The 27,456-nt window shown below is 53.8% G+C and overlaps 1 protein-coding gene across 2 annotated transcripts, besides 14 other annotated features; it reads left to right on the top strand.

Annotated features, from left to right (window-relative positions):
* Window positions 11–450: a silencer, noted in NCBI's record as "silent region_6541". NCBI's record gives its function as "represses an Ori minimal core promoter by ATAC-STARR-seq in GM12878 lymphoblastoid cells {active_cell/tissue: GM12878}" and the evidence as "EXISTENCE:reporter gene assay evidence [ECO:0000049][PMID:35858748]".
* Window positions 11–781: a biological region, named in NCBI's record as "H3K27ac hESC enhancer GRCh37_chr15:65134214-65134737".
* On the top strand, window positions 158–26,245 carry PLEKHO2 (pleckstrin homology domain containing O2). Of its 2 annotated transcripts, NM_025201.5 has the most exons (6): window positions 158–271; window positions 6,836–6,985; window positions 13,164–13,280; window positions 18,137–18,241; window positions 19,720–19,818; window positions 23,142–26,245. In NM_025201.5, the coding sequence occupies exons 1-6, from the start codon at window positions 260–262 to the stop codon at window positions 24,129–24,131; spliced, it is 1,473 nt and encodes a 490-aa protein (NP_079477.2). In that variant the 5' UTR covers window positions 158–259; the 3' UTR covers window positions 24,132–26,245. The 2 variants fall into 2 exon arrangements, with proteins under 2 accessions (NP_079477.2, NP_001181988.1); NM_001195059.2 differs by lacking the exon at window positions 6,836–6,985.
* Window positions 258–781: an enhancer, noted in NCBI's record as "H3K27ac hESC enhancer chr15:65134214-65134737 (GRCh37/hg19 assembly coordinates)". NCBI's record gives its function as "activates a minimal SCP1, AML or CMV promoter by ChIP-STARR-seq in naive H9 embryonic stem cells {active_cell/tissue: H9 hESC(naive)}" and the evidence as "EXISTENCE:reporter gene assay evidence [ECO:0000049][PMID:30033119]".
* Window positions 814–1,365: an enhancer, noted in NCBI's record as "H3K27ac-H3K4me1 hESC enhancer chr15:65134770-65135321 (GRCh37/hg19 assembly coordinates)". NCBI's record gives its function as "activates a minimal SCP1, AML or CMV promoter by ChIP-STARR-seq in primed H9 embryonic stem cells {active_cell/tissue: H9 hESC(primed)}" and the evidence as "EXISTENCE:reporter gene assay evidence [ECO:0000049][PMID:30033119]".
* Window positions 2,414–2,773: an enhancer, noted in NCBI's record as "active region_9580". NCBI's record gives its function as "activates an Ori minimal core promoter by ATAC-STARR-seq in GM12878 lymphoblastoid cells {active_cell/tissue: GM12878}" and the evidence as "EXISTENCE:reporter gene assay evidence [ECO:0000049][PMID:35858748]".
* Window positions 2,884–2,993: an enhancer, noted in NCBI's record as "active region_9581". NCBI's record gives its function as "activates an Ori minimal core promoter by ATAC-STARR-seq in GM12878 lymphoblastoid cells {active_cell/tissue: GM12878}" and the evidence as "EXISTENCE:reporter gene assay evidence [ECO:0000049][PMID:35858748]".
* Window positions 4,224–4,273: a silencer, noted in NCBI's record as "silent region_6542". NCBI's record gives its function as "represses an Ori minimal core promoter by ATAC-STARR-seq in GM12878 lymphoblastoid cells {active_cell/tissue: GM12878}" and the evidence as "EXISTENCE:reporter gene assay evidence [ECO:0000049][PMID:35858748]".
* Window positions 4,224–4,805: a biological region, named in NCBI's record as "H3K27ac-H3K4me1 hESC enhancer GRCh37_chr15:65138202-65138761".
* Window positions 4,246–4,805: an enhancer, noted in NCBI's record as "H3K27ac-H3K4me1 hESC enhancer chr15:65138202-65138761 (GRCh37/hg19 assembly coordinates)". NCBI's record gives its function as "activates a minimal SCP1, AML or CMV promoter by ChIP-STARR-seq in primed H9 embryonic stem cells {active_cell/tissue: H9 hESC(primed)}" and the evidence as "EXISTENCE:reporter gene assay evidence [ECO:0000049][PMID:30033119]".
* Window positions 4,806–5,364: an enhancer, noted in NCBI's record as "H3K27ac hESC enhancer chr15:65138762-65139320 (GRCh37/hg19 assembly coordinates)". NCBI's record gives its function as "activates a minimal SCP1, AML or CMV promoter by ChIP-STARR-seq in primed H9 embryonic stem cells {active_cell/tissue: H9 hESC(primed)}" and the evidence as "EXISTENCE:reporter gene assay evidence [ECO:0000049][PMID:30033119]".
* Window positions 9,719–10,665: an enhancer, noted in NCBI's record as "H3K27ac-H3K4me1 hESC enhancer chr15:65143675-65144621 (GRCh37/hg19 assembly coordinates)". NCBI's record gives its function as "activates a minimal SCP1, AML or CMV promoter by ChIP-STARR-seq in naive H9 embryonic stem cells {active_cell/tissue: H9 hESC(naive)}" and the evidence as "EXISTENCE:reporter gene assay evidence [ECO:0000049][PMID:30033119]".
* Window positions 12,083–12,651: an enhancer, noted in NCBI's record as "H3K27ac-H3K4me1 hESC enhancer chr15:65146039-65146607 (GRCh37/hg19 assembly coordinates)". NCBI's record gives its function as "activates a minimal SCP1, AML or CMV promoter by ChIP-STARR-seq in primed H9 embryonic stem cells {active_cell/tissue: H9 hESC(primed)}" and the evidence as "EXISTENCE:reporter gene assay evidence [ECO:0000049][PMID:30033119]".
* Window positions 23,618–23,667: an enhancer, noted in NCBI's record as "active region_9582". NCBI's record gives its function as "activates an Ori minimal core promoter by ATAC-STARR-seq in GM12878 lymphoblastoid cells {active_cell/tissue: GM12878}" and the evidence as "EXISTENCE:reporter gene assay evidence [ECO:0000049][PMID:35858748]".
* Window positions 25,121–25,800: an enhancer, noted in NCBI's record as "H3K27ac-H3K4me1 hESC enhancer chr15:65159077-65159756 (GRCh37/hg19 assembly coordinates)". NCBI's record gives its function as "activates a minimal SCP1, AML or CMV promoter by ChIP-STARR-seq in primed H9 embryonic stem cells {active_cell/tissue: H9 hESC(primed)}" and the evidence as "EXISTENCE:reporter gene assay evidence [ECO:0000049][PMID:30033119]".
* Window positions 26,246–27,456: the final 1,211 nt, after the last annotated feature.

The raw sequence follows: 27,456 nt of genomic DNA on the forward strand, positions 1-27,456 counted from the left end.
CAACCCAGGCCCCGCCCCTCCCCACCCATTTCCCGCCCTGGGCCGGGCCCCCGGCCCCACCGCCCCCTCCCCGGCCCCGCCCCGGCCCCCGGAAGCCTCACCCCGCCCCCGGCCCCGCCCCCCCGAAGTTTCTTGGGCCCCCGGCAGCCGGCGGGACAGAACGCGGAGAGTCGCCGCCTGGCCGGGCGTAGACGCGGTGGCAGAGCCCGCGCGGCGCTGGAAGCGAGTGGCGGAGCGGCGGGACCTCGGCGGACTCGCCATGGAGGAGGAGGTGAGGGCGGGGCCCGGCGGGGCGTTGGGCTGGGGTCCTCGAGCCCCTCACGGGGATTGCGGTCCTGGGCTCAGGCCCTCGTTCCTGCCCGCCCCACTCCCGCCAGTCTCACCTCAGGAAGAGCCTGGGCAAATGGGGCAGGGGCGAGGGGCTGGATCCATATCGGGGACTTCGCAGACCGCGTCCTCCTTCATTCTCGCTGACTTTCTCACCAGTTGTGGGGCGTCGTGGTTGTTACCGTTCCCATTGGATTGACCAGGAGACTGAGACTCCAGCGAGATTGATGACTTGCTGAAAGTGGCCTGGGTGACTGGGCTCGAACCCCGATTACCGTGGTCGGATCCTGACTCTCTCTCTCTCTCTGTGTGTGTGTGTGTGTGTGTGTGTGTGTGTGTCGGATCCTGACTGTGTGTGTGTGTGTATGTGTGTGTTGGGGGGTTCCTGTCTCAAGGATCGGATCCTGACTCTGTGTGTGTGTGTATGTGTGTGTTGGGGGGTTCCTGTCTCAAGGATGTGACCATGCTTTGGTGGCAGGAGGATTGGAGAAGTTGCTTTTTTCTCCCTTGTATAAGTCTCTGTATCTTTTCCCCCACTCTCTCCCCGCTCCACATCCATCTGAGCAGCTAGCTGTAGGGAAGGAATCGGGAGTCCGGCCCACCTAGGGTCTGATCTTAGTCCCTGCCTTCCCCACCCGAGGGCTGGACCAACTGTGTCCCTGGAGCCTCCTTCTAACCACTCAAAACACTCTTGGCCTGGGATTGGGTCTTGCCCCTGCCCCTGCCCTTTACTTGCAAACTCAGTTCTGCCAGCAGCCGCTTTATCCGAGGGTCCAGCACGCAGCAAGCACTTAATATATGCCTGTGGAATGATTAAGTTAAAATGAGGGGCCTGTTGGGTCTAGAGGAAGGTGAATTTGTTTCTTATCCCCTGAGGGGGTCCCAGCTTCAGCCCCTCTCAGCCCAAGGGAAGGGGCATGTCTTTGCCTCCTTGGATGGGGAGGAAAGATGAAGTTCTCTGCCTTGGGGGAACCCTGGCCAGCTGGGAAGCCCTGAGTGGACCGGACTGCCTGTGTCCCTTCAGTGCCCACCTCCCACTTTTCCAGGGCCATGGATAGGAGCAGCTAGTGGTCCGTCAGGGCTCCCTCTAGGCCAGGCCCTGCCTTTCTGTGGGATGGTAGATAAGTCACTTCCCCTCTCAGCCTTCATTTCCTCTTCTACAAAATATAGTGCCTGTCCTCCTCATACTCCTGGCCTGACAGTGGCCGGTTCTCTCAGTGGGTGAAGGTAGGGGGCAAAGTCAGGCCTCTGTGATTTGCTGCGGTTTCTTTCTGGCTGTTAGGTGGGGCTGCCATCTGCCTGCCCCAGGCCCCTGCTGCAAGGGCTGGGCTCTCTGGCCAGGGCCCCTCCCCTGCTCCCAGAGGATGTGGGTCAGGATTACTCCATCTCCTGATCTGCGCTGGCCCCTGATTAAGGGAAGTTCTCCGGACACCTCCTGGGCCCGGCTCAGCTCTGTACACCCTTGGTCCTGAATCTCTCACATTGTCACTTTCTTTTCTTTTTTTTTTTTTTTGAGACGGAGTTTCGCTCTTGTTGCCCAGGCTGGAGTGCAGTGGCGAGATATTGGCTCACCGCAACCGCCACCTCCTGGGTTCAAGCAATTCTCCTGCCTCAGCCTCCTGAATAGCTGGGATTACAGGCATGCACCACCACGCCTGGCTAATTTTGTATTTTTAGTAGACATGGGGTTTCTCCATGTTGGTCAGGCTGGTCTCGAACTCCTGACCTCAGGTGATCCGCCTGCCTCGGCCTCCGAAAGTGTTGGGGTTACAGGCATGAGCTATTGCACCCAGCCTATATTGCCACTTTCTGACTCCTAGATGCCCAAAGCTCTCTAAATATCTGGGCCATCTAAGTTCTTGTCCACTTTACCCAAGCCCCTGCAAGCCTCACCCCCACAGCAGGGGCTTCCTTTCCCTACTCCCCTTTGGCATCCCTAACTCTGCTTTCCTCCCACTTCTCCCAGTAGCTTCCGCTTGTTGCACTAGGCCTCAGTGCCCATCTTTGTTTCTCTAAAACACCTCTTAGGTCATAGCCACATGCTCTGCCCCATGATCCCAGGCCATCTTCATCATCTCTTTCACATGGCTGCTTTCAGCCCTCCTGCTAGCTTTCAGCTTCCTCCCTGTGCCCGGCCACCCTGGGCCAAGGTCCCTCAGCCTCAGTGACCTCCTCTATGCAACGGGCAGGCTGGTAGCTCTTGTCAGGCTGAGGCTTGGGGAGGAGATGCTGGTCTGGGCACTGGGCATCTGCCCACCTGTGTGCTCCTGGCCTCGGTTCCTCCTTTGTAAAAGGAAAAGGGTGGGTGATCGAGCAATGTGATGATGTATATTCAAAAGCTGAGAAAACTGCGAATATCAGTGGGGGTATTATTGCTGCCATTGGAGTAAGGGTGGAAATCCTGGACCTAGGCTTTCCCTTCTGTACTCTGGGGCTCTGTCCTCTGCCAGCAGTCATGCCTTTCCCTGGCTTCTAGGCTCTCCACTTGCCCTCACCATCTAGAGACAAGCAGGGCAGTGTCCTGTCCCAGTACTGTTTCTGTCCCACGGAGTAATCTCTTGCCCTTTCTGGGCTGTACTTTCTCTTTCTATAGTAAAGGGGTTGAGGGGGCAGGGGCTTTGATAACCTTTTGTGCCTTGCCTTCTCTGGACCAAGGCGTGTGTCTCTTCCCCTGCTCAGAGCCCTCCCCAAACCCTACCTTCTGCAGGGGTCTCCCAAACGAACCCCAAGCCCTTATCTCATCAGAGAGCTAGGACCGGTGCATCCCTCTGGTTAAGTGCTATGTCTCTGCCAATAGGCTGGAGCCTCTCAAGCAGGAGATTACCCGCTCCCCACCAGACAGGGGACTTATCTTATACAGCGTCTCTGTTACCCACCTCAGACTGAAGGTTGCCCTGGGGCAGAGCCTGTGCTTCCTCTCTCTCAATGCCCCGGCACAGGACTCTGACACGGTGGATTCTTAGTAGAGTTGGGTCAGAACATCACTGGGTTTTGTCAAAGAGCAAAGGTTGTCATAAGCTTCCTGGGATGTGAGGTGCCAACCAAGTTTCTTCTAGTCTCTGTCTCTCGTAACCTGTGTTGTGGTTCCATCTGTCCCCTTCTGTGTACAGAGTTGAGGTGACCTGGCTTCTTTTTTTTTTTTTTTTTTTAATGAGTGATCCAAGGGAGGCAGGCTGGTGCCTAGGGGTGCCTCAGGAGCTGCTCACAGTGGGCAGGAAAGGGCCTGGGTGAGGAGGGATGGGAGGGGAGAGGGCAAAACAGGAAGAACAGCGGTCAGCTGCTCAGTGAGGAGAGGAGGCCGAGAAACTGGGCTGAGCAGGACAAAACCTCCCCTGTGAACCCTGCCAAGGGGAGGGGCCCCTTATTAAAACTTACTGGGGCATAGCCAGGCCCCCCTGGAGGGAGGGGGTCTGAGGGGCAGGGAAGGGGGCTGGGTGGAGGCAACTAGGACTCTGGCCTCCAGCCAGTCCTCCCCTGGGTGGCTGTTTCTGTGGCTGGGCTGTGGTTCACACCATCTGTAGCCCTTCAGTTGTCCCCTTCTCCATACCAAAGTGCTGTTTCGCCTAGTCCTGCCCTGGTCCCATTCATTCTTCAAGGACCTGGACTTGTTTCTGTAGGTAATCCAGTCACAGTATTCTCTAGGCTACATCAGCCCAGAAGTGACAGTGATCTAGGCACAAGTTCCAGCTGTGGCCCTAGGGAGCTTCCAGAGGGTAGAAAGTTTTCAGGAGAGGTCATGAGTGGAGAGAGTTTAGAAAGGGGTGTGAGATCCCTTGGGGTGGTGGGTGGGTCCCCTGAAAGCAAGAGGCGAGCTTGGAGCTCAGAGGTGGGTGGCTGGGCAACAGCTTCACACTCCACAGACCTCACTGCCTTGTTTAAGAGAAACCAAGAGTCTGCCCATCAGGTGGAAGGCCTGGCAGGGGCTGGTGGTGCTGTCCTTGCTGTTGCCGTTGCAGTAGGAGGGTTGTCAGTGTGAAATGTGGGGGTGGGGTTTCCCATTTCCCTGTTCTTCCCTTCTAGCCCTGGGCCTATGACAGCCTGCAGGGCTCGCTGAAGTAGTGTTAGGGCCCTGGGGGTGTCAGTGGTGATGTGGGGAATGGGAGTTGAGTGCATGATGGAATGGGAGAGCCTTTCCCTTCTTGTCAAAGGGTGCTGAAATCCCTCTTCTCCTGGACAGGGTGGCTCATAATCGGCCAGCCTTCTACTTCCTTGTTCCTATATCTGGGAAGACCTTTTTTTTTTTTCGGAGACAGGGCCTCATCCTGTTAACCATACAAGAGTCCAGTGGTGCAATCTCGGCTCACCACAACCTCCGCCTTCCTGGCTCAAGGGATTCTCCTGCCTCAGCCTCCTGAGTAGCTGGGATTACAGGCGTGCGCCACCACCGCCCGGCTATTTTTTGTATTTTTAGTAGAGTTGGGGTTTCCCCATGTTGGCCAGGCCGATCTCAAACTCCTGACCTCAAATGATCTGCCCATCTCGGCCCAAAGTGCTGGGATTACAGGCATGACCCACCATGCCTGTAGAAGAAGACCCTGGGAAGATCATTTGGACCACCCCACTTCCCCATTTCTCTTGCCATCTACAAGTTAGGGAGAGACCCCAAGGTGGGACCCCACATTCCTGGAGCTCCTGGAGATCTGAGGCCAGCAGCTATAGACCAGAAAGGGCTTGTCCTGACTTGGGAACTGGGCCCAGGGAGAGGGTCCCTGAGAGCCAGAGAGGATGGCAGTGACAATAGTAACAATAATGACAGCTGCCGTTTACTAGGTTTAGGGCATCCTGGGAACTGCTCTATATGCTTTGTCTTTACTCAGCAACAAATGTTTATTGAACACTTACTATGTGCCAGTCACTGTCTAGGAACTGAGGGTACAGGAGTGAACAAAACAAAAATCCTGCCCTCGTGGAGTTGGATTCCTTACAACTTCTGCTGTTAGTAGCTGCATTTCACAGATGAAGAAACTGAGGCTCAGAGAGGTTAAGTGGTTTGCTTCAGTCTGCATGACTGCAGCTTCTAAGCCCAGATTCCCCACCACTAGAATGCGCAGTTCAAAAGGGGGTGGGGGCCCACAGTGAGAACCAGGCTGGGGTTCCCCTGCCATGACAGAGACCAGGGAAGCCAGGTCTTCCCAGCTCCTGACAGTGCACCACGCTTACATCTGTCTGGGCTTGTTCTTCCAAAGGCAGCTGTGGCCACAGGATATCCCTGGGGAGAGGCACACCTCTTTTAACTGGGGCCCCTTTTTTGAATTTTATGTAAATTATAACGTAGTCAAAATTAGTCCATGCTAATTTCCTTCTAGCAGCCTCTAGATTCTGACACATTCTTGATCCCCTCTCCTTCACCCCCCACTTCACACTCACGACTCTGGGTACCTATCAGTGAAGCAAAGTGGTTAGCAAAGGGTGTGTATTTTTATTTTCATTTCACGCGTACCTCTTGAGCACCCATTATGTGTAAAAGAACAGGGCTGGGTGCTGGGGACCCAGAAGTGGATCTGACCCCAACCTTATTTGGTAGGCATGTATCTGGCACCCAGCCACCCAAGCAGGCAATCAATGAGGCACAAGATGTCAGTAGCTGGCCCCAAGGCTCCAGGGTGTCTACCCAAGTCCAAGAGAAGGGCTTGAATTTAACTCCTGTGCCAGCCTGTGGTCAAAGACAGAGTCCTTGGAACCCTCACCAGATGTGGTGGCCACCCTAAGGTCCTTGCCTGGAGTGGGGAGGAGGGGAGAGGAGCCTCCTGCTTTGGGTGGGAAGCGGAAGGGGCTGCAGAGTGGGTTCTCTAGAAGCATAGCGGTAGAGAGGCAGATTGCCACTCAGCCTGCCTGTCCTTCCAGTCTTTGTTCTGGGTGGCCTTCCTGGGCCACCCCAACCTGAACTGGGTCCCCCACTGTCCTCTCGCTGCCCTTTGTGTGTTTCCTGTATAGCATTTCACACAGGTTGATGGGTATGCCTGGGTATTTATTTGTTCAGCTCCTATTTTCCCGCACTGTGAGCTCTGAGGACAGAGACTGCCTTACTTTTATTCTCCTGTGATGTTGTAAGCACTCAGTACATTTGTTGACTGATTGAATGAACACATGGAAGCAGAATGGTGGAGTGGGAAAAACGTGGGGTCAGAGAGACCTGCTTTGAATTCTGGCTCTGTCCTCTAGCAGTGGTTTGCCACTCTGTCGAGTCATCCTCCATTCTGAGCTTTAGTTTGCTATGACATGTGGATAATGAGGCTACCATCTTGGAGGGGAGTTGTAAGAGTGAAATGACACTATGTGTATCAAATGTTATACAGTGGCTCAGAGTAAAGTGGCTGCTGCTATTATTGTTGTTATTAGCTCTGATCCTGGGTTAGGAATATCTGCCTTGGGGGTTGTGGGGAAGCTCACATATTATGATGTCATTAGGTACTTAGCCTAGGGACACATCCCTTGTGTGACCTATGAACCTGTGACCTGTGACCCCATGGTAGCAACCCTCATGGTATGAACTGGTGCTGTGTTACAGGGTGTGAAGGAAGCCGGTGAGAAGCCTCGGGGAGCACAGATGGTGGACAAGGCTGGCTGGATCAAGAAGAGCAGTGGGGGCCTCCTGGGTTTCTGGAAAGACCGATATCTGCTCCTCTGCCAGGCCCAGCTGCTGGTCTATGAGAATGAGGTGAGGACCTGCTTGGCCCTGAGATTGGGGGTTCTGGGACAGGGGCAAAGTGAGGGCATTCAAGTTAGTAGGAGGACCCTGGGTCTGGGGCCAGAAGACCTGCTCTACTTTTGCCATGCTGTGCAACCTTGAGCGAGTACCTAATCCTCTCTTGGGTCTCTGTATATGGGGATAATACCTCCGAGGACAAATCTAGGGTTTCTAGATGAGAGTTCTTTTCTTATTTTTTTAAACTTAATTCTTTTTTTTTTGGTGATGGAGTCTTGCTCTGTCACCAGGCTGGAGTGCAGTGGCGAGATCTCGGATCACTGCAACCTCCGCCGCCTGGTTCAAGCAAAGCAATTCCTCTGTCTTAGCCTCCTGAGTAGCTGGGACTATAGGCATGCATGCCACCATGCCCAGCTATTTTTTGTTTTTGAGAAAGAGTCTCGCTCTGTAGCCCAGGCTGGAGTGCAGTGGTGCGATCTCAGCTTACTGCAACCTCCATCTCCTGGGTCCTGGTTCAAGCAATTCTCCTGCCTCAGCCTCTGGAGTAGCTGGGATTACAGGCATGCACCACCATGCCCAACTAATTTTTTGTATTTTAGTAGAGACAGGGTTTCACCAAGTTGGCCAGGAGAGTCTCAATCTCTTGACCTCGTGATCCACCCACCTTGGCCTCCCAAAGTGCTGGGATTATAGGTGTGAGCCACCACGCCTGGCCCTCTTTTTTTTTTTTGAGATGGAGTTTCGCTCTTGTTGCCCAGGCTGGAGTGCAATGGCACGATCTCAGCTCACTGCAACTGCCGCCTCCCAGGTTCAAACAATTCTCCTGCCTCAGCCTCCCAAGTAGCTGGGATCACATGCGTCAGCTACCACACCCGGCTAATTTTGTATTTTTAGTAGAGACAGGGTTTCACCCTGTTGGCCAGGCTGGTCTCGAACTCCTGACCTCAGGTGATCCACCCACCTCCGCCTCCCAAAGTGCTGGGATTACAGGCGTGAGCCTGCGTGCCCAGCGGAGAGTTCTTTGAACTGTATGTGCATCTAGTGTGCAAGTCTTTTCCTGTCCCTGGGCAAGGTTCCATATGAGTGAATGTTATGGAAAACTGAAGCCTGCTCCATTCAGCAGTGGTAGTAGAAATAATAATTAGCAGGCCGGGTTGTAGTGGCTTACACCTATAATCTCAGCACTTTGGGAGGCCGAGGCAGGCGGATCACCTGAGGTCAGGAGTTCTAGACCAGCCTGACCAACGTGGAGAAACCCCATCTCTACTAAAAATACAAAATTAGCCGGGTGTAGTGGTGCATGTCCGTAATGCCAGCTACTCAGGAGGCTGAGGCAGGAGAATCACTTGAACCTGGGAGGTGGAGGTTGCAGTGAGCCGAGATCATGCCATTGCACTCCAGCCTGGACAACAAGAGTGAAACTCCATCTCAAAAAAACAAAAAAATAATAAGTAGCACTCGTACTTGTTTGGAGATATGCTCTTACATATCTCCCTATGACAAATTGCAATAGTCCCATGAGAGTGGTCTTCATGTTAGATTTTTACAGAAGAGGATACTGAGGCTCAGGGTGACAAGATGACTGTTCAGCATCTCCCAGTGAATGGAGGAGTTAGGTCTAGAAGCAAGTCCAGCGTGCTTTCTACCAAGAGACGCCAGCAAGTAAACTCCAAAACTTATTTTTGTTAGAAAATCTCTAAAATATGTTAAATATTCTCCGCTTTCTTCAACAGAAGATTCTGGCCTAAATAAAATCTTTCCCTGGTGGCTCAGTGTCATCACCTGTCAGACCCACCTGCAGAGTGGGTTCTCTAGATGCACAGGGGTAAAGAGGCAGATTGCCTCTCTGTTTTGAACTGGCAGGAGGCTGTACTTCTCATCTTTTCTTTCTCCTTTAACATCAAGCTGCTGGTTGCAACTTCTGCTGTCCTTGTGCCTCGAATAGCCCTCACTTCTTCCCACTTCAGATGCTTGTTCCCCTTCTGATTTCAGCAGGCTTGGGATTTGGACAACCAAGGATGCTAAGCTTGCGTGTTAACTAAGAGTCAATTAAGATGTAGGTGAAGACTTGAGGAAGAAAAGTGGTTTTTACTTGTAGATGCTATTTGTGTGCTGTGGTTGAGGCTATCGGAGGGCCCATCCACTGAAAACAGGGTAGCAATATATGCCTTTGACAAATGAAATACCTGGGGAAGAATTGGCCTGGGGGCAGAAGGGGGAGCCTGCCTCTTCCTCATCCACCTCTCCCAGCCTGCCTCAGGCTATCTTGGCAAATTCACAGTTGTCCCAGGACAAGAAAGATTAGGCAACCTGGATCCAAAGTGTTTAAAGGAGCTGCCTCGGAGAAACACCTTGTCTGACCTACCTGAGTTGCTGGCTCGTGGAGTTTGTTTGGGTGTCAGAGAAGCAGTGGGAAGAGGGCAAGGGAATGAGGGTGCGTAGACAGCACCCCCAGATGTTCTCTACTGCTGCTCCCACCAAAATAGGATGTGCCACAGTTGAGAATGAGGCAGCAGGGGGACCTTTTTTCCAATAAAGGGGGTTGTCACAGCTTCTTCCAGTGCCAGCTGCCATGAGATTTAAGTAACAGGCTTCAGCTGTCAGCCTGTCAGGTACTGTCAGACTTGTCCTAAACTGCCTCTCTGCATCTGGCCACAGCTGGGAAGCAGGAAGGATTTCACATCTCCCAAACATGAAAAATCTAAATCATGCTTTTTTCCCCTTGTTTGAAAAAGATTGCTATTAAAAATGTAAATGCAATTTCAGGAACTTAACACTTAGGGGTGGGGGAGCTTGGCCCTGGAGTAGGAATTGAGAAATGCTTATTAGCTCAATTCCTCTTTCTGATGTAAGGAACTAGGCGAATGCGAATGGCTCTTGGCTGTTTCTTTGCTGTCAGAGAGGCTGACATTCCAAAGATGCTTCCCTCACCCATTGCCTACTGGTTTATCCGTTTTTCTGAGCTGCAGAAGAGCTGGGATGATTCAGCGTCTTGGGGTGGGGTGGAGAGGAGACCCAGGACAGGCAGCTATTGGGAGCTTAATGGTAGAGGTGGATGGACTTTTTGTTCCCAGGCAGAGGAGGGTGTATTCGGGCCAGTGGCGGTCCAGTTAGTGGAGGCCTGTGGACACGGGGCAAGTAAGCTGCTCTCTCTCAAGCAAGGATTCTTCCCCGGGCAGTTTCCCTGCTCCAGATTCCCGGGGAGGAGGAGACTTCCTGAGTTCTCAATCTGGATAAGGCACTCAGAAAACTGGTCCTACATATGTTCTGCTTGAGGGCTGCTGCTTGTAGGGTGCAGTTGGGGGAACAGAAGGATAAGCAGATAGATACACAGAGAATGGGGTAGAGAAAGATGGCCAAGCAGGGAGTCAGGACTGTGTTTTCCCATGGCAGGACTCGGCTCCTAGCACCTCATAGGGTGTCTGCATCTTGCAGGTGTTTTGTAGATGTTTGCATCCCCCTGGCAGTAAATGATGGGATGGAGAGCACTCAAGTTCAGGGGTTCATGGTTGGGGGCAGGGGAGTTTCTCAGAGCAAGAGGATTTTTCTGGTCCGTCTGTTTAGTTGAGGAATCTGGAAGGTACTGGAGGCTAGAGATTGGAAAGGGATGTATGGATGGAAGCAAAAATGAGAAAAGATACTTGATTTAACCTGGTTGGGAGAGATAAGGCCACCTTGGCCATCTCTTCCCCTTTCTCTGAGGGGCTGACGAGAGAGTCGATTAGTAGTTATCCACATTAGATATACAGTCATCTGCTTTAAAATATCCTGAGGTCTGGGCCTTGCACCCCAAGAGATTGTGGTATAATTGGTCTGGGATGTCGCCTGGGCATTGGGGTTTTTAAAAGCTCCCAGGTGCCACCAAGGCTGAGAACCTCTGGTGTAGAGCAGTGGTTCTTTTTTTTTTTGAGAAGGAGTCGCCCTCTGTCACCCAGGCTGGAGTGCAGTGGTGCTATCTCGGCTCTCTGCAGCCTCCGCCTCCTGGGTTCAAGCGATTCTTCTGCCTCAGCCTCCTGAGTAGCTGGGACCACAGGCTCATGCCACCATGCCCAGCTAATTTTTGTATTTTTAGTAGAGACAGGGTTTCATTATGTTGGCCAGGCTGGTAGCAGTGGTTCTTAACTGTTCGCATCCAGGCCAGGCTTGGTGGCTCATGCTTGTAATCCCAACTCTTTGGGAGGCTGAGGCAGGTGGATCACTTGAGGTCAAGAGTTCGAGACCAGCCTGGCCAACATGGTGAAACCATGTCTCTACAAAAATTAGCCGGGCGTGGTGGTAGGCACCTGTAATCCCAGCTACTCGGGGGGCTGAGGCCGGAGAATCGCAGGTACCCAGGAGGCAGAGGTTGCAGTGAGCCGATATCATGCCACTGCACTCCAGCCTGAGCGACAGAGTGAGACTCTGTCTCAAAAAAACAAAAAACAAAAAAAATTCGCATCCATCAAAATCCCTGGGGGCTAGTTAGAACGCAGATTGCCAGGCCCACCCTCTTAGGTGTAATGATTGAGTGGGGATGAGGCCTGGGGGTTTGCATTTCTTTTTCTTTTTCTTTTTTTTTTTTTTTGAGACAGAGTCTCGCTCTGTTGCCCAGGCTGGAGTGCAGTGGAGCGATCTTGGCTCACTGCAAGCTCCGCCTCCTGGGTTCACGCCATTCTTCTGCCTCAGCCTCCCAAGTAGCTGGGACTACAGGTGCCCGCCACCACGCCCGGCTAACTGCCCGGCTAATTTTTTTTTGTATTTTTTTTAGTAGAGATGGGGTTTCACTGTGTTGGCCAGTATGGTCTCGATCTCCTGAACTCGTGATCTGCCCGCCTCGGCCTCCCAAAGTGCTGGGATTACAGGTGTGAGCCACCGCACCCAGCCGGGAGTTTGCATTTCTAACAAGCTCTCAGGTGGTGCGAATGCTGCTGGCCTAGGTCCCAACCTTGGAGGACCCCTCGTGCAGAGCAACCTACTGCCTGTGACTGGAAGGAGTGTGCTGTGCTGGAAAGGGCCCTGGCCTGGGAGTCAGAGGCTGTGGTTTGAGTTGGGGCCCTGCCCCTTATATTTGGGTCTGTGTGCCTAGGGCAAATCCCTTCACCTCCAGGCCTCATTCTTTCCTTCTAAAATGAGGCAGATATGGGGCTGCAGGCTTTCAGGGTTATTGTGAGGTTCAGAGACTCAGGGATGCAGAAGTGCTCACTAAGTGTCAGATTTCTTCTGTTAAACATCAGCAAGGGTTTCCTTAACTTTTTGGCCCGTCCCAGGGTGGTGTACCCTCCCCCACCAAAGGATCTGCTTCTGCTTCCCTGGACTCTCCTGGATGACAGAGTGCCACACCCAGGAAGTTGTTCCAGTTGGGTCTTCCCTGGAAGAGGACCAGTTGACCACCACTGAGGGAGGAGCTTTTCCCAGGCAGCTTGCTGGACAGGCACCTGATGGGTGGAGCCTGTGGAGAAAACACTCAAATGTCAGGAGTGGTGGGCAGGAAGACAGTCTGGCTGGTGTCCAGAGATGGCCGGGAAGAGGCTGGGCACTGTTCTGGCCACTGGCCCTCCTAATGATGAGGCCTCCGAGTGGTGGGGTGGGGATGGGATGCGCTTCAAGGAGCCCTTGCCTGTTGCTTGTATGTAGCCTGCAGCCTTGGATGAGGTGCTGCTCTCCCAAGCCAGGGCTCCGCAGGGGGTGATGCTGAGTGAGGAGCACAATTCAGGATGGCTGTGCTGAAGGCAGGGCATGTAGCCCCAAATTTGCCTTGTTCACACTTCCCTCTGGCTCTTCCTGGAAAGTCGTTGTCCCCCGTCCCCATCCCACTCCCTGCCTGCCATTTTGTGGCATCCTGCATTCTTCTTCTGGCTTTCTCTTCCACAGATCTCTGCCTGGCCTCTGGGCATGGCTGGACCCCAGACAGCCTTTTCTTATCCTCTCTAGCTTCCCCTCTGTTTCCTCCTCTGGCCTTAGGCACATACGCGCCTCTGGGCTATGTGCCCATCTCCCATCTGGATGGGGAGCCTTGTGGGCATCCCTCCAGCCAGCATGCACTTGCCAGGGTCTGGACACCACATCTTGGTGACTGATTGGCAGCCTGAGGTCCTCCCTCTAACCAAGTGATGTCCTCGCTGAGTGGGATCAGGGTCTGGGACATGAGTAGTTGAGGGTGGTGGTGGGTCTGACTGTCACCAGCTCATGTCCCTTCTGTCTCCCTCCCCAGGATGATCAGAAGTGTGTGGAGACTGTGGAGCTGGGCAGCTATGAGAAGTGCCAGGACCTTCGTGCCCTCCTCAAGCGAAAACACCGCTTTATCCTGCTGCGATCCCCAGGGAACAAGGTAGGGCGATGCCTGCTGCTGCCCCATCTCCCTCTAGCCCAGAGTCAGCTTGGGAGGCCTAAGCAGGTTTAAGGCAGGCCTGGCCCCTTGAAAAAGCCTGTTTTCCGTTGCGTGTGGCTGAGGCTCAGCCCTAGCAGCCACCATAGGTCAGACCTTTGCTCATTTTGTCTCGGAATCTTCCAAGCCCCTAGTTGATAAGAGATGCACTTAGGGCTCTGTTGAGAGACCTCTGCTCCCCTTTTCCTCTTGCAGGCCCAGGGCCTCCATCCCAGGCTGTAGTTGGAAAGTAGCCTTTGGGAGGTGGGGCACTTGGCTGTACCCCAGACCCTGGGGGAGGCCCAGGGCTGAGGCAGGAGAGCTGTGGTTGAGGCCTCCACCCTGCCAGGCCTCAACACCGTGATGCAGCCTGGGGCAGAGGGGGAGTGTGTGGCCTCCCTTCATCCCAGGCCTTTGTGGGTGGGCCCACCCTGGACTAAGGACTAGGAGGCCTGCAGCCCCCCAGCTTTCCTCCCCTTGCACTTTCCTTTCTTGGCTGTAGCTGGGGAAGGTCCCTGGCTTGAGAGAGTCTTTCCCTGGGACATGCTGTGTGTACAGATGAAGTTTGCTGTTTGCACCACATTTCTCTGGCGGGGAGTCTGGTGGGTGTTGACACATGGTGTAGCTTCACAGATGTCAGGAGCGAGTTCAGATTTGAGGCTGGCATGCACAGCACCTCTCGCCAGCTTGCACCCATCTGCGGCTGGGCCATTCCTTGCCTTGTCCTCTGCATGTCATGTGGAGCCTCGCAGAATAGGGCTGAGTCACAGAGGCTGGGAGTTGGGGAGCAAGTCTGGTCTGGGCCTGCTGGAGGCCATTCTGTTTCTCCCCCAGCTTTAGGGGATAGGAGCCCAGTCCTCTGCAGACCCTGAAGACCACAATGCTTTACTCATTGACCCTTTGTCCTACTGTGCAGGGGGTGGGGGCGCAGAAGCAACCAAGATAGCAGTGGAGGGGGCTGTGGAGCTGTGATACTAGGGAGCTGGAAGTGTATCCCAGGGTAGCGGCTGGTATAATTATAGTGTTATGAGGGCTCATGGGACTGGGCCCAGGTTTCACTTGACATCTGCTGCTTAGGGCTCTTTGAGGACAAAAAGAGTCACATTTTAATCTTTTCAAGGCCTGGAGCCCCTACCCTGTCCTGGAGACCCACTTCCTTCCTGAGTGGGCACTGTATATGTGGATGTGTGTTTGAGAGAGATGAGATGCAAAGTATGTTCTGTGTGAAGATCTGCCACCTGTGTGTCTGGCCCTTATGTGTGTATCTTTTTTTAATGCAGGTGAGTGCTCACCTGGCCGTGTGTCTGTCTGGGTGTGTGTCTTAGTATGCTATGTGGATGTGGGGTGGAGGGGGACCTAGCCTCTCTGGCCTCTGCCTGTGCTGTTCTGTGGGCCATCTCTTCCCCAGCTCTGAGAATCAGCTGGTGATAGACTAGGTGGGCTTGGCTCAGCTCAGGGTGGGACATCACCTTCAGAGAAGCCTGTTTGTGCAGCTGTGTTCTCAGCTGCTTCAGCCAACACCCTCCCTACCAGCCCCCAACCCTGCAAGAATTTAGGCTGGCTCTGAGAACAGGACAAGAATTTAGGCTGGCTCTGAGAACAGGAGATGGGGCTGTGGAGCAAGTGGTGGGTGCTGCGGATGAAACAGTGCATCCTGGTTCCAGCTCAAGGGTCCCTGACCCTCCCCACCCCAGGAGCTCACACAGATTGGGGCTCTCCAGAGGTCAGTTGGTGGACCTGGCCCAGGGCACCACATTCCCACATCCTCTCACCCTCCTTTCTCAGCAGCCTGGGTGTTCCCCGTCCTCAGTGAGGCCTCCAGCCGGCCAGGAGGTCACATGACCCTGGCTGTCTGGTCCTGAGGCCGCCTTTTTTCCCCTCTAATCAAATAAACAAAGACTCCAATGTCTTACATGCCCCTCTCCCCCTGCTTCTCCAGCCCCACACCCCTGCCCATGAGGTCACAGGCAGACGCTGCCAGGAAGCAGGGTGGCCACTGCTGGGCCTTGCTGCCCTGCTGGTCTCAGCCAGCTTGGCCCTTTCCTCTTTCCTGCCTCCTCTCTTCCCCTCCCACTTTTTTCCTCTCTGCCATTTTGTCCTTAACCTTTTCCCAGGCCTTGTGGGCCTAGTCTGTGGCCAGTCCTGTTAGCATCTAAGCTCCTAGCAGTGCCTATGTCCCTGGGGCTTCTTGGAAGTTCTCAGGGCAGGGACCTGTACAGCCTGTGGCCCTTCAGGATGGTTTTTGGGGAGAGGCACAGCTTCTTGGTATTCTTATTTTTTGAGACAGGATCTCACTCTGTCACCCAGGCTGGAGTGTAGTGGCATTATCTCAGCTTGCTGCAACTTCTGCCTCCTAGGCTCAGGTGATCCTCCCACCTCAGCTTCTGAGTAGCCGGGACTGCAGGCACACACCGTCATGCCTGGCTAATTTTCATATTTTTTGTAGAGATGGGGTCTCACTATGTTGCCCAGGCTGGTAACTTCTTGGTATTCTAATTGTTTCTATTGTGGTCATCCTTGTGGAATGCCTGGCTCGTTCAGCCAGATACAGGGTTCCTTAGGAGGGTGGAGCTGGGTCCTGTTTAACCTTGTCTTCCTTCTCCTGTGGGAGCCTTTTGGCTTGCACAATAGGTCTTCTCTGAGGCCATTTCTGCTTCTCACAAGGGAGCAGAAGAGAGCCGAGGCAGCCTGCTTCAGGTGGGCTGGGCCAGTGGGGAAGGAGCTGCAGTTTGGGCTGGGTCCAGTGGTTCTGTTCTTGTCCCTTTGAGGTCCAGAGTAATGAAGCGAGTAGAACTTGGTAATCTGACTTCTAGGCCTGCTCTTCTCTGGCCTCCTCTTGTTCCATTGGCTCCTGAGTTCAGCTGTACACTTTTCAAGCTCCCTGGATGCTAAATCCTGTACCATGCAGGGGTCACACCAGCTCTGAGCCTGTGAATAGGAGGAGCAGCTGGGTAGAAGGGCTGGCCCCAGACTCCCTTTCTAGCAGGTCCCGTCACAGAGTTGGGTGGCCTTAGCGACCCCAGATGCAGTGTGGTCTGTCTCTGAGCCCCCAGCAGCCCTGATGGCTGAGCTGAGGCAGTTGCCAAGGTGCCCTGGGGTTTCTGACTTAACTGAAGATCTGCTTCCAGGATCAAATTTACCCTGGTCATGCAAATGAGCATTTGGCTGTGCCTGGCATGGTGGGGGTGGGACCCAGGGCCCTGCATGAGGAGGAGGCAGTGGCAGCCAGGAGGAAATTATATAATGAGGATGCTGAGGGGGCCAGGCCGACCTCGGTGTTACATAACTGGAGAGTGGAGGGAGGGGAGGTACTATCTAACACCAGGGTGGAGGATGGGCAAGCTGGCGACCGCCAACAAAGAACTAGGGCATCTTGAGGTCAGAGAGTAGGCAGTGGTCCAAAAATGGTGAGGGAAGGAAACTTGAGCCAGTTCATTAATTTTTTGGCTCATTCATTCAAGAACTATTTACTGAGCACCTACTATGTGCCAGTCCCTGCTTTTAATCATGTTTAATTTCCCCATCATTGCTTGGTAGTAGGCAGTGTTATCCCATCTTACAGACGAGGAAACAAACTGTTTTGTCCAGAGGGAAGGCAATGGTGCTAATTCCTATTACTGAGTATTCACTCTGCCTAGCTCCAGATTTAGTACTTTAGATATATCTTTTTTCCCTCAATTAAAAAATAAAAAACTGTGGTAAAAAAAAATTTACCATCTTTTCCAGTTTGAAATTGCACAATTCAGCGGCATTAAATACATTCATGGTGTTGTACAGCTATCACCACCATCCATCACATAACTCTCCATCGTGTAAAACTAAAACTCTATGCCCATTAAATAATAATGCCCCATTGCCCCTCTCCCCAGCCCCTGGCAACCACCACTCTCCTCTCTGTCTCTATGATTTTGACAACTCTAGGTACCTCATATAGGTGGAATTGTACAGTTTTTGTCTTTTTGTGTCCAGCTTATTTCACTTAGCACAATGTTTTCAAGGTTCATCCCTGTTGTAGCATGTGTCAGATTTTTCTTCCTTTTTAAGGCTGGCTGATAATCCATTGTACGTATGGACCACATTTTGCTTATCCATTCATCTGTCAGTGGACACTGAGGTTGCTTCCACCTTTTGGCTGTTGTGAACAATGCTATGAGCATGGGTGTACAAATTGGATACATCATTTTAAAAATGATCTTCATGGCTCCATGAGGCAGGTTCTGGTGGTATTCTCTTTTACAGTTGAAGAAACTGAGGCCTGAGGTCAGACACCTGTAAGTGGTGGACTGTCCTGCTCAGAGGCCCTACTGCCTTGTCCACTGCGTGAGGCAGCCCCTCAGTTTCCATGACCTCACTCCTTCCTCTTATTTCCTGTCTGGCCATTGGGCCTGGCAGGGTCAGGGTTCTCTGAGCCACCCTCTGATTCTAACAGGAGCTCAGAGCTCCTACCTGAATTGGGAAAGGACTCATGGGTGGTGTGGGGTGGGTTTGAATGTAGACTGGGGCTATTCCTACTTTTCAGAGTAAACGGAAGCCCAGAGCCCAGGCAGCTGGCCTGGGGGAGTCCCATGGAGCTGGACCAGATCCGGGCTCTTTCCACAAGGCCAGGCTGATTCGAATCTAGACCCAGCTGCATACTGGTGGGCAGTGGGGAGGGCTTCTCTGTGAGATCTTTCCCTTTCCTGGCCCAAAGCCCCAGTGTCATACTTAACTGTGGGGTCATTTTGGTTTGACTTTGGGATCTAGGTAAGGAAGCCTCCTTAAGATGCCAAATGTGAGCTTTGTTAAACATCTGCCATCTACTCCATCCATCTTGCCCACAGGTCAGCGACATCAAATTCCAGGCACCCACCGGGGAGGAGAAGGAATCCTGGATCAAAGCCCTCAATGAAGGGATTAACCGAGGCAAAAACAAGGCTTTCGATGAGGTGCGATGCAGTCTGTGGACATGGACAGCTCTGTGTCTCCTTTCCCACTGCGTGTGATCTAGGAGAGGACCCTGCCCCTCCTTACCCCAGACTACCCCTTGATTATGTCACTGCTATGGGGCATTGTTGTTACCTTCTATAGTCCTCACTACAGCCCCTCATAGTAGGTGGTGCTGTCCTTGTTTTACAGATGAAATGGAGGCCTAAGGAAATTAAGTAACTTGTCTTAAACTGGAAAGCAGATAAGTGGTGGGCTGGAACTAGACTGGTGGCAGCATGCATCCTTTCTAAGCCTGGCCTCAGCTGGAAGCAGCAGGTGGGCCCAGGCCAGAGAGTGCTGCAGAGTGAGCCGACAGCTCCCTTTTCAGTTTGACCATGAAGTCCAGGGCAGGCTGGCTCTCAGCTCTGGGCCTCCCTCTCTGTCTGCAATGACCATTCAGCCCTGCAGACCTCAGCCCCCTGTGCTGTACTGGGGACTGTGGCAACAGTAGCCACAATCTGGCTTGGGGCAGGCAGAGCATCCCATGGGGCCAGGATCTCCTAGGAAGATTTGTCTTTGACATCACGGATCTTTGGTTATTTGGGCTAAAATGGACCTGGGGGCCACCTACAGTGATGCCTTGGATTATGTCAAGGAGCAAATCTTCCCAAGCAAGTCCCCTCTTAATACCCAGGTTCCCCGACTCCCAGCCCATAGCTCCTATGTCGTGTCCTGTGTTACATGTCATGCTCAGCCCTTCACTACCTAGGGGAAAAGTGTCCCCGTTCCACGGGAGAGGGATGATGGGACATATCATAGATATTGGGGGAGGCCATAGGAGCCATGGGCTGGGCCTCAGCCCACTGAGGGACAGAGGGACAGAGGGACAGAGACAGCTGGAGTCACATGTGGGCCTGAGCCCCCACTCCCCATCATAGGGCCAGGCTGCTCCAGGGTTCTGAGTCTGGACCTCCCATGTGACTCTTACTCTGAGACTTCCCAGCCAATCCTGACCCCTTCTGTTACCCTCAGAGAGAAGATGCTGACCTCCAGGCTCCCAGACTCAAGGGGCAGAGGCCCTGCTCTCTCTCTGGGCTCTCTCCAGGGGTCCTGGGAGGGTGGCAGAGGCCAGGGCAGACCTTTTCCAGAAACCAGGTACCAGGGGAGCATAGGCTGCTTTCAACCTTCTCTCCTAGCTAAGCCCCAAAGCCACCTCAGGGCTGCTTATATATTTGTGATATACTCAGGGGCAAGGGCCGATGGCCCATATTTGGGCAGGAAGACTGAGGCAAATGGCAGCTGCAGAGAGGGAGAGCCTCAGACTTTGCAAGAGACTCCAGGGGCATTGCAGAGTTAGAGAAGCAGAGGCCAGGGCAGGGAGATTCCCAGAGAGGGCAGCGGTGGGGCACTGACCCTGGCTCTGAGCCAGGTCCGCCCTGGCTACTTCCCACACTCCCCAAGGCTTGGCAGGGGCTGATCTGGTTCCCCCTCCCTCCAGGTAAAGGTGGACAAGAGCTGCGCCCTGGAGCATGTGACACGGGACCGGGTGCGAGGGGGCCAGCGACGCCGGCCACCAACGAGAGTCCACCTGAAGGAGGTAGGGCCTTACCCAGTGTGGATGTTGGGGTTAGTTGAGCCTAGGACCTCAGCTCCTCTGGGCGGCAGCCAGGCTTGGGGCCACATTTTTCCTGAGGACACCTGGAGCTGGGGCTTCCTGAGGAGTAGACAGGAAGTGATGGGGCACCTGTGTTACACGTGCTCAGGGTATGGATGTCCTTGAGCCTGTAGCCTTTTCCATTTGTTCAATCCACACACAAATGTTGAATCTGTCCTTAGCCAGAGTTGGTGCCAGAGGGAAACTGAAGCCCATGAGGCCAGTCCCTGCCCCTCAGAGCTCGTCTTCCAGCTGAAAAATAGGCCTATCCCACAGACTGCTCCATGCAAAGCTGTGTCTGATTTTTGTGCGGAGGAAGGAAGGCTCTAGGAGGTCAGGGCAGGAGGGACCACAAGGAGCCACTGGCATTTTAGCTGACCCTTGAAGGATGGGAGGGGTTCACTTGGTGGACTTGGAGTCAGGGGATTCTCTGTGGAGGGAGTGCTGTGAGCTGAGGCACAGCGGGAGGGTTTGAGGTATGCGGAGCAGCTCCATTTGCCTGGGAGATGGGTCTGAGAAGGGGGTTGTGGGGAGGAAATTGTGGAGGCCTTGGTGAAGAAGCTGGAGACAAGGAAGGGAGAGTGCGTTTCAGAGGTCAGTTTGAGGCTCTGGGTAGGATGGGTTGGGTTGAGAGAGGGAAAGGCAGGGGCCAGGAAGGAGGTGGGGGAGGCGGCTTTCCAGGCCCCTGGAGGGGATGAAGAGGGAGGGGTTGATGGGAGGATGTTAGGAAGCAAGAGCCACCTGGGCTTGTGATTGAGTCAGGGGATTGGACCAAGGGAAGGTTGTCTGAGGTTCCCCAAGCCTGGAGACTGGGAGCATGGAGGCCCTGGGCACAGGGAATTTGGAGAGGGTATGGGCAATGGGGAGGGGGGAAGGGAGGAGACTCTTTTAGACCAGTGGAGCTAATGCTGCAGGGGAGGATTTTGGAGGCCAGGAAAGAACCTCAGCAAGTGCTACATTTAGGGACTGGAGGGAGGTCAGCTAGCAGGGAACCAAGAAAGAGGAAGCCAGAGGCAAGTGCCACATCTGGAGAGAGATGGGCACAAGACCTGGTGGGCATCAGCCAGGTTGGCAGCCGCAAGTCACAAGGGCAGGACCAAGGACAAGGCATTTACAACATATTTTCTTTTTCTTTTCTTTCTTTTCTTTTTTTTATTATTATACTTTAAGTTTTAGGGTACATGTGCACAATGTGCAGGTTAGTTACATATGTATACATGTGCCATGCTGGTGTGCTGCACCCATTAACTCGTCATTTAGCATTAGTTATATCTCCTAATGCTATCCCTCCCCTCTCCCCCCACCTCTTTTTTTTTTTTTTTTTTGAGATTGAGTCTCGCTCTGTCGCCCAGGCTGGAGTGCAGGGTGCAATCTCAGCTCACTGCAACCTCCGCCTTCCGGGTTCAAGAAGTTCTCTGCCTCAGCCTCTCGAGTAGCTGGGATTACAGGCACCCTCCACCACCCCCGGCTAATTTTTGTATTTTTAGTAGAGACGAGGTTTCACCATCTTGGCCAGGCTGGTCTTGAACTCCAGACCTCGTGATCTGCCCACTTTGGCCTCCCAAAGTGCTGGGATTACAGGCGTGAGCCACCGCGCCTGGCCTTGCAGCGTATTTTCTAAAAGGAGTCGATTTAGGGCTGTCCCGGGGTGCAGGGCTGGGTTTGCCGGAGGGAGGGACCCAAGGTCGTGGGAGGTCTGTTTTTGAGTTGCAGCAGCCTGTGCCTGTCTGTCAGCTGAGGGATAGGATCCTGCAGAGGGAGCACTGAGGTGGCCACAGAGAAAAGGAATGCCTGATGGGGGCCGGGGACGGATGTAGGGAGGGCCAGCCTTGGAGGGAGGGGCCCTCTGACAGAAGAGTTCAGGGAGGCGCTGTGTGTGTGTGTGTTTGTGTGTGTGTGTGTGTGTGTGTGTGTGTGTGTGGTGTGTTAGGGGTGACTTTCTGGTGGTCCCCAGTGCCTGATGTCAGCCAGGTCCTGTGTATGTATAAAAGGGAGTGAGAGCAACAAAGGGAGATGGGCATCGTGGCACATGCCTGTGGTCCCAGCTACTCTGGAGGCTGCAGTGAGCTGTGACCATGCCACTGCACTCAGCTTGGGTGACAGTGCGAGACCCCCTTTTTTTTTTTTTGAGACGGAGCTTCGCTCTTGTTGCCCAGGCTGGAGTGCAATGGCATGATCTCGGCTCACTGCAACCTCCGCTTCCAGGGTTCAAGCAATTCTCCTGCCTCAGCCTCCCGAGTAGCTGGGATTACAGGCATGTGCCACCACACCTGGCTAATTTTGTATTTTTAGTAGAGACGGGGTTTCTCCATGTTGCTCAGGCTGGTCTCAAACTCTCGACCTCAGGTGATCAGCCTGCCTCGGCCTCCCAAAGTGCTGGGATTATAGGCGTGAGCCACTGCACCCAGCCAGCCCCATCTCTTAAGAAAAATAAGGTGGCAGGGGAGAGTAAGGATCCCAGCCAGGACCCCCACCATCTGAGGGACCTTGGGAAAGGCCTCCTGCCCAGCCCTGCTGGGGCCTCTGAGGCTCTCTGGGAGGGTCTCATGACTGTGGGACTGCTGGATATCCCTATTGGTCCCTGGAGCCTGGTGGGGGTGGGTAGCTGCCTTCTGGTGCAGCTGTTCTCTGGCAGTCAGCTGTGGTCTGGGACCACATCTGATGACATGAGGAGAGTGGGCACAGGCTGCCAAGCAGCTGGACAGGCAAAAGCTGGAGAGAAGCTGGCAGACGGAACAGAGGTCTCCAGGAAGGGCAAGCAGAAGTCAGTGAGCTTGAGATGAACTGGAAGAAGTATGTTTGAGTCCTGGTCCTGTCTCTGACTGACCAACTGGTTGTGGGGACCCTGGGTATGGTGATGGGTAGGTGGGTTGCAGAGAAGGGAACCTCTGAAGGCCATACAGCTAGGTAGGGGTTAGATGCAGGGCTGGAACTCTGTCCCCTGCCACCCAGGCTTGTATAGTCCAGTCCAGGTCCAGTATCCCAGAAACCAGCCTGGGGCTCCAAGAGGACCCTGGCTGTGACTTTCCTGGCCTGTGATTCCAAAACAGGGAATTCTTTGGTGGTGAGGGAAAGGAGAGGAAGATTCATCAAGAAATCACTTTAGCTTCTAATTAAGTAGCCACAGAAGCCAGGACAGAGGGAGGCTGGGGAGCTGGGGGCCTGGACAACCTGGATGGGAGAGGGTAAGAACTCGTGTCAGTGGGCACACCTGACCCAATGGCTAGTCAGCCAAGATGACACCCATATACCATCCCCCCCACCAGGTGGCCAGTGCAGCTTCTGACGGTCTTCTGCGCCTGGATCTTGATGTTCCGGACAGTGGGCCACCAGTGTTTGCCCCCAGCAATCATGTCAGTGAAGCCCAACCTCGGGAGACACCCCGGCCCCTCATGCCTCCTACCAAGCCTTTCCTAGCACCTGAGACCACCAGCCCTGGTGACAGGGTGGAGACCCCTGTGGGGGAGAGAGCCCCAACCCCTGTCTCAGCAAGCTCTGAGGTCTCCCCTGAGAGCCAAGAGGACTCAGAGACCCCAGCAGAGGAGGACAGTGGCTCTGAGCAGCCTCCCAACAGCGTCCTGCCTGACAAACTGAAGGTGAGCTGGGAGAACCCCAGCCCCCAGGAGGCCCCTGCTGCAGAGAGTGCAGAACCGTCCCAGGCACCCTGTTCTGAGACTTCTGAGGCTGCCCCCAGGGAGGGTGGGAAGCCCCCTACACCCCCACCCAAGATCTTATCAGAGAAACTGAAAGCCTCCATGGGTGAGATGCAGGCTTCTGGGCCACCTGCTCCAGGCACAGTGCAGGTCTCAGTGAATGGCATGGATGACAGTCCTGAGCCTGCCAAGCCCTCTCAGGCTGAGGGCACCCCAGGAACTCCTCCAAAGGATGCAACAACATCCACAGCACTGCCCCCCTGGGACCTGCCACCTCAGTTCCATCCCCGCTGCTCCTCCCTTGGGGACTTGCTTGGGGAAGGCCCGCGGCATCCCTTGCAGCCCAGGGAACGGCTATATCGGGCCCAGCTGGAGGTGAAGGTGGCCTCGGAACAGACGGAGAAACTGTTGAACAAGGTGCTGGGCAGTGAGCCGGCCCCTGTTAGTGCCGAAACATTGCTCAGCCAGGCTGTGGAGCAGCTGAGGCAGGCCACCCAGGTCCTGCAGGAAATGAGAGATTTGGGAGAGCTGAGCCAGGAAGCACCTGGGCTAAGGGAGAAGCGGAAGGAGCTGGTGACCCTCTACAGGAGAAGTGCACCCTAGGGCCTTCTGGGCCAGAGGCACCATCCCTTCTGGCCATCCATCAAGTCCATCAAGGCCCAGCCCTGCTGAGAAATGTGCTTCTGCTTCTACAGCAATGGCTGCAGGAGGGCCATTGGGCATGTCAGGGTTTGGCCATGACCCGAAGAGACTCCTGGCGTCCTTCCTACTCTGCTCTGGCCAGTGGTGCCAGGTGCCACCCAGGGCTACTGCCTGGCTATCTGGCCTGGCCTCTGGGCTGGGGCTGGGGCTGGGAGCACACACGCTGGGACCTATGTGTTTGTGTGGTCGTTCCAAACTGCCCCAGGGCTTTGGGGGCGGCACTTGGGGTTTCTGGGAATGACATCATCTCTGTTCCCCATCCCCAGTAGTTTACATTCCTGACTTCTGAATACAGCACAGCTGAGCCCCCTGCAGCTCCCATCTCCAGCTATTCCTAGGCAAAGAGCCTCATGGCTAAGGCAGCCTCAAAGCCAGCCCCTCCTCCCACCTATTCTGAGTAGCTGCAGAGGCCTTGGGTCCAGGCTCTAGGTTCATCCCTCAGTTGGGGGGAACGTAGGACCCAGCTGGAGCCTCTTGAGGGAGATGAGAGGCCTCTTTGTGAGGAGGACATTAGCTGTGTGGCCTCTCTCTCTTTGGCCCTGTTTCCTTTTTTGCAAAACAAGGACATTTTCTGCAGCCCCTTCCTCTCAGTGAGCTATGATTGGAGGGCTTAGGTCTGGAGGATTCAAGAGTGGAAGAGGAATTTAAGGGGTCCCCTAGTCTAGTCTCTGCCCCTGGATAGTGTCCAGCCTTGTATATTTCTGAAGAGGTGGATCCCAGAGTGGCTCTGATGTCCACATTAGAAAAACTTACTTGTAATGATCATGTCAGCCTTCAGAAGAGAATCCCCACCAACTTCTGTGCCTCCTCAGATGGGGATTTATCTGGATCTCTGTGGTTCCTTCTCAGCCGAAACAGGTCCAGTATCCCAGTCATTTCTTCAAATGCTGATAGGGGTATGTTGGAATCCGAAGCCACTTCCCCGCCTTCAAGCCCCAGATGGGCTGCTCTCCTGTAACTTTCTAGGAGAAGAGACATTTTCTTCTTTCCCTTTCCTGGTCCATCCCTGCACCCTGGTCCTCTCCCAGCCTCTCCCCCACATTGTCCCTGACTCTAGGGGCACATCCAGTCTCCATCGTGCTGCAGCAGCTGGACTGAGGGCAGAGCCTGTAGGTGCAGAGGCCCTGGCTCCCGAGGTCCAGCCACTCTCCCTGGGGCCTCTGGGGTGAGAGCAGCTTCCGATAGGACCTGCCCAGATTTCTGCATGTGCACTTTTGTTTACTGAAAGAGAGAAAGGGGGGGGTCACAGCAACATGCCCTGGCCTTTCTGCTCTGTTCCCCAACCCCACTGAGGCCTGCTGCACAGGTCAATGCCTTCGTTATCGTTATTGTACTGTCACTTTGTTCTTGAGGTAGTAGTCAAGGATCAGGAGGGGCAGATGTCTTCTCTGGGCTGCGTGGGGCCGGAGCAGAGGTGAGCAGCAATGCACTGGTTCGGGAGCCCCCATCAGCCTCCTTGTGCAAACTGGGCCCCCATGCCACAGTCTGGCTTTCCCTCCATCTGCCCCAGGACAAGAGCAAGAAGGACATCAGTTGCCCAGTCATGTGATCCCCTGCCATCTTGCCTTAGGAACAGCCTTCCCCCACCAGCAGCCATGGCTGGCTGGGGCTTTAGCCAAGCCACCTACTGCCAGGAATTGGAGCCTCAGTTCCCTCCTGTGTCAAGTAGCTAACTGCAGCAGCTGGACTGAGGGCAGAGTCTGTGGGTGCAGAGACCCTGCATGTAGGTCACAGGTTGAGGCCCAGCCACTCTCCCTGGGGCCTGGTGGGTAGGCAAGTAGCTCTGGGGCCACCTCAAGTGACCAAATGCTATTAATTTCCATCCTTTAGCAGGCTGGGCCCTAGGCAGGAAGCTGGCTTCTGGGAGAGGAGTGAGAACGTGCAGGGCCTGCCTAGCTTGCGTGCTTGAGGAAGGTGGCATTCCGTGCTTGCCTCCTTGAGGAGGGTGGCATTCTGTGTCTTCTGCTTATGAAGCGCCTTTCTTAAAGTTTGGCAATAAATCCATTTTTATGGAACTTCAGTGCCTCAAGCCTGTTTGTTGTTGTGGGTGCCAGCTCCAGGGCTGCCCTTCTCCAAGACAGCAGTTGGTGATTGGTATCACCAGTCCTCCAAACTCGGTACTAGGGCCCCCATTCCATAAGCTGGGCTGGGACACTGCCTGCTCCTGGGCTCCATTATTGCTTATTATTATTATTATTTATTTTTTTTTTTTGAGATGGAGTTTTGCTCTTAATGCCCAGACTAGAGTGCAGTGGCTCAATCTCAGCTCACTGCAACCTCTGCCTTCCAGTTTCAAGCGAGTCTCCTGCCTCGGCCTCCCAAGTCGCTGGGATTACAGGAGCCCGTTTTTTTTTGTATTTTTAGTAGAGACGGGGTTTCACCATGTTGGTCAGGCTGGTCTCGAACTGCTGACCTCATGATCCACCCACCTCGGCCTCCCAAAGTGCTGGGATTACAGGCATGAGCCACCACGCCCGGACCCTATTATTATTATTATTATTATTATTATTATTATTATTATTATTAGAGATGTGGTCCTACTATGTTGCTCAGGCTGGTCTCGAACTGCTGGCCTCAAGCCATCTTCCCACCTCAGCCTCCCAAAGGGGATTACAGGCATGAGCCACCTTGTGCAGCATTCTGTTCTTGCTAAACTCAGGCCTTTCTGATATATACCCCCACCCCCAGTGTTTCTACGGCTGGGGGCTAAGTGTCGCAAGGAACAATAGTTTTCAAAAACCAAACTTTTCATTTGGAAATACTTTTAAACTTAGAGAAAAATTGCAGGAATAAGAATAGTACAAAGGCCATGGTATGGTAGCTCATGTCTGTAATCCCAGCACTTTGGGAGGCCGAGGTGGGTGGATCATGAGGTCAGGAGTTCGAGACCAGCCTGGCCAACATGGTGAAATCCCATCTCTACTAAAAATACAAAAATCAGCCGGGCGTGGTGGCGCGTGCCTGTAATCCCAGCTACTCCGGAGGCTGAAGCATGAGAATCGCTTGAACCTGGGAGGTGAAGGTTGCAGTGAGCTGAGATCATGCCTCTGCACTCTAGCCTGGGCAACGGAGCAAGAATCTGTCTCAAAAAAAGAACAGTGCAAAGAACACCCATTTACTCTAGCAAGATTGACCTGTTTTCTCTTTTGAGCACTTTCTCTTTTTCACATATACATATAATTTTTTTTCTTTGAGATGGAGTCTTGCTCTTGTTGCCCAGGCTGGA

Source organism: Homo sapiens, chromosome 15 (genome assembly GCF_000001405.40).
Source record: "Homo sapiens chromosome 15, GRCh38.p14 Primary Assembly".
Taxonomy (NCBI): domain Eukaryota; kingdom Metazoa; phylum Chordata; class Mammalia; order Primates; family Hominidae; genus Homo; species Homo sapiens.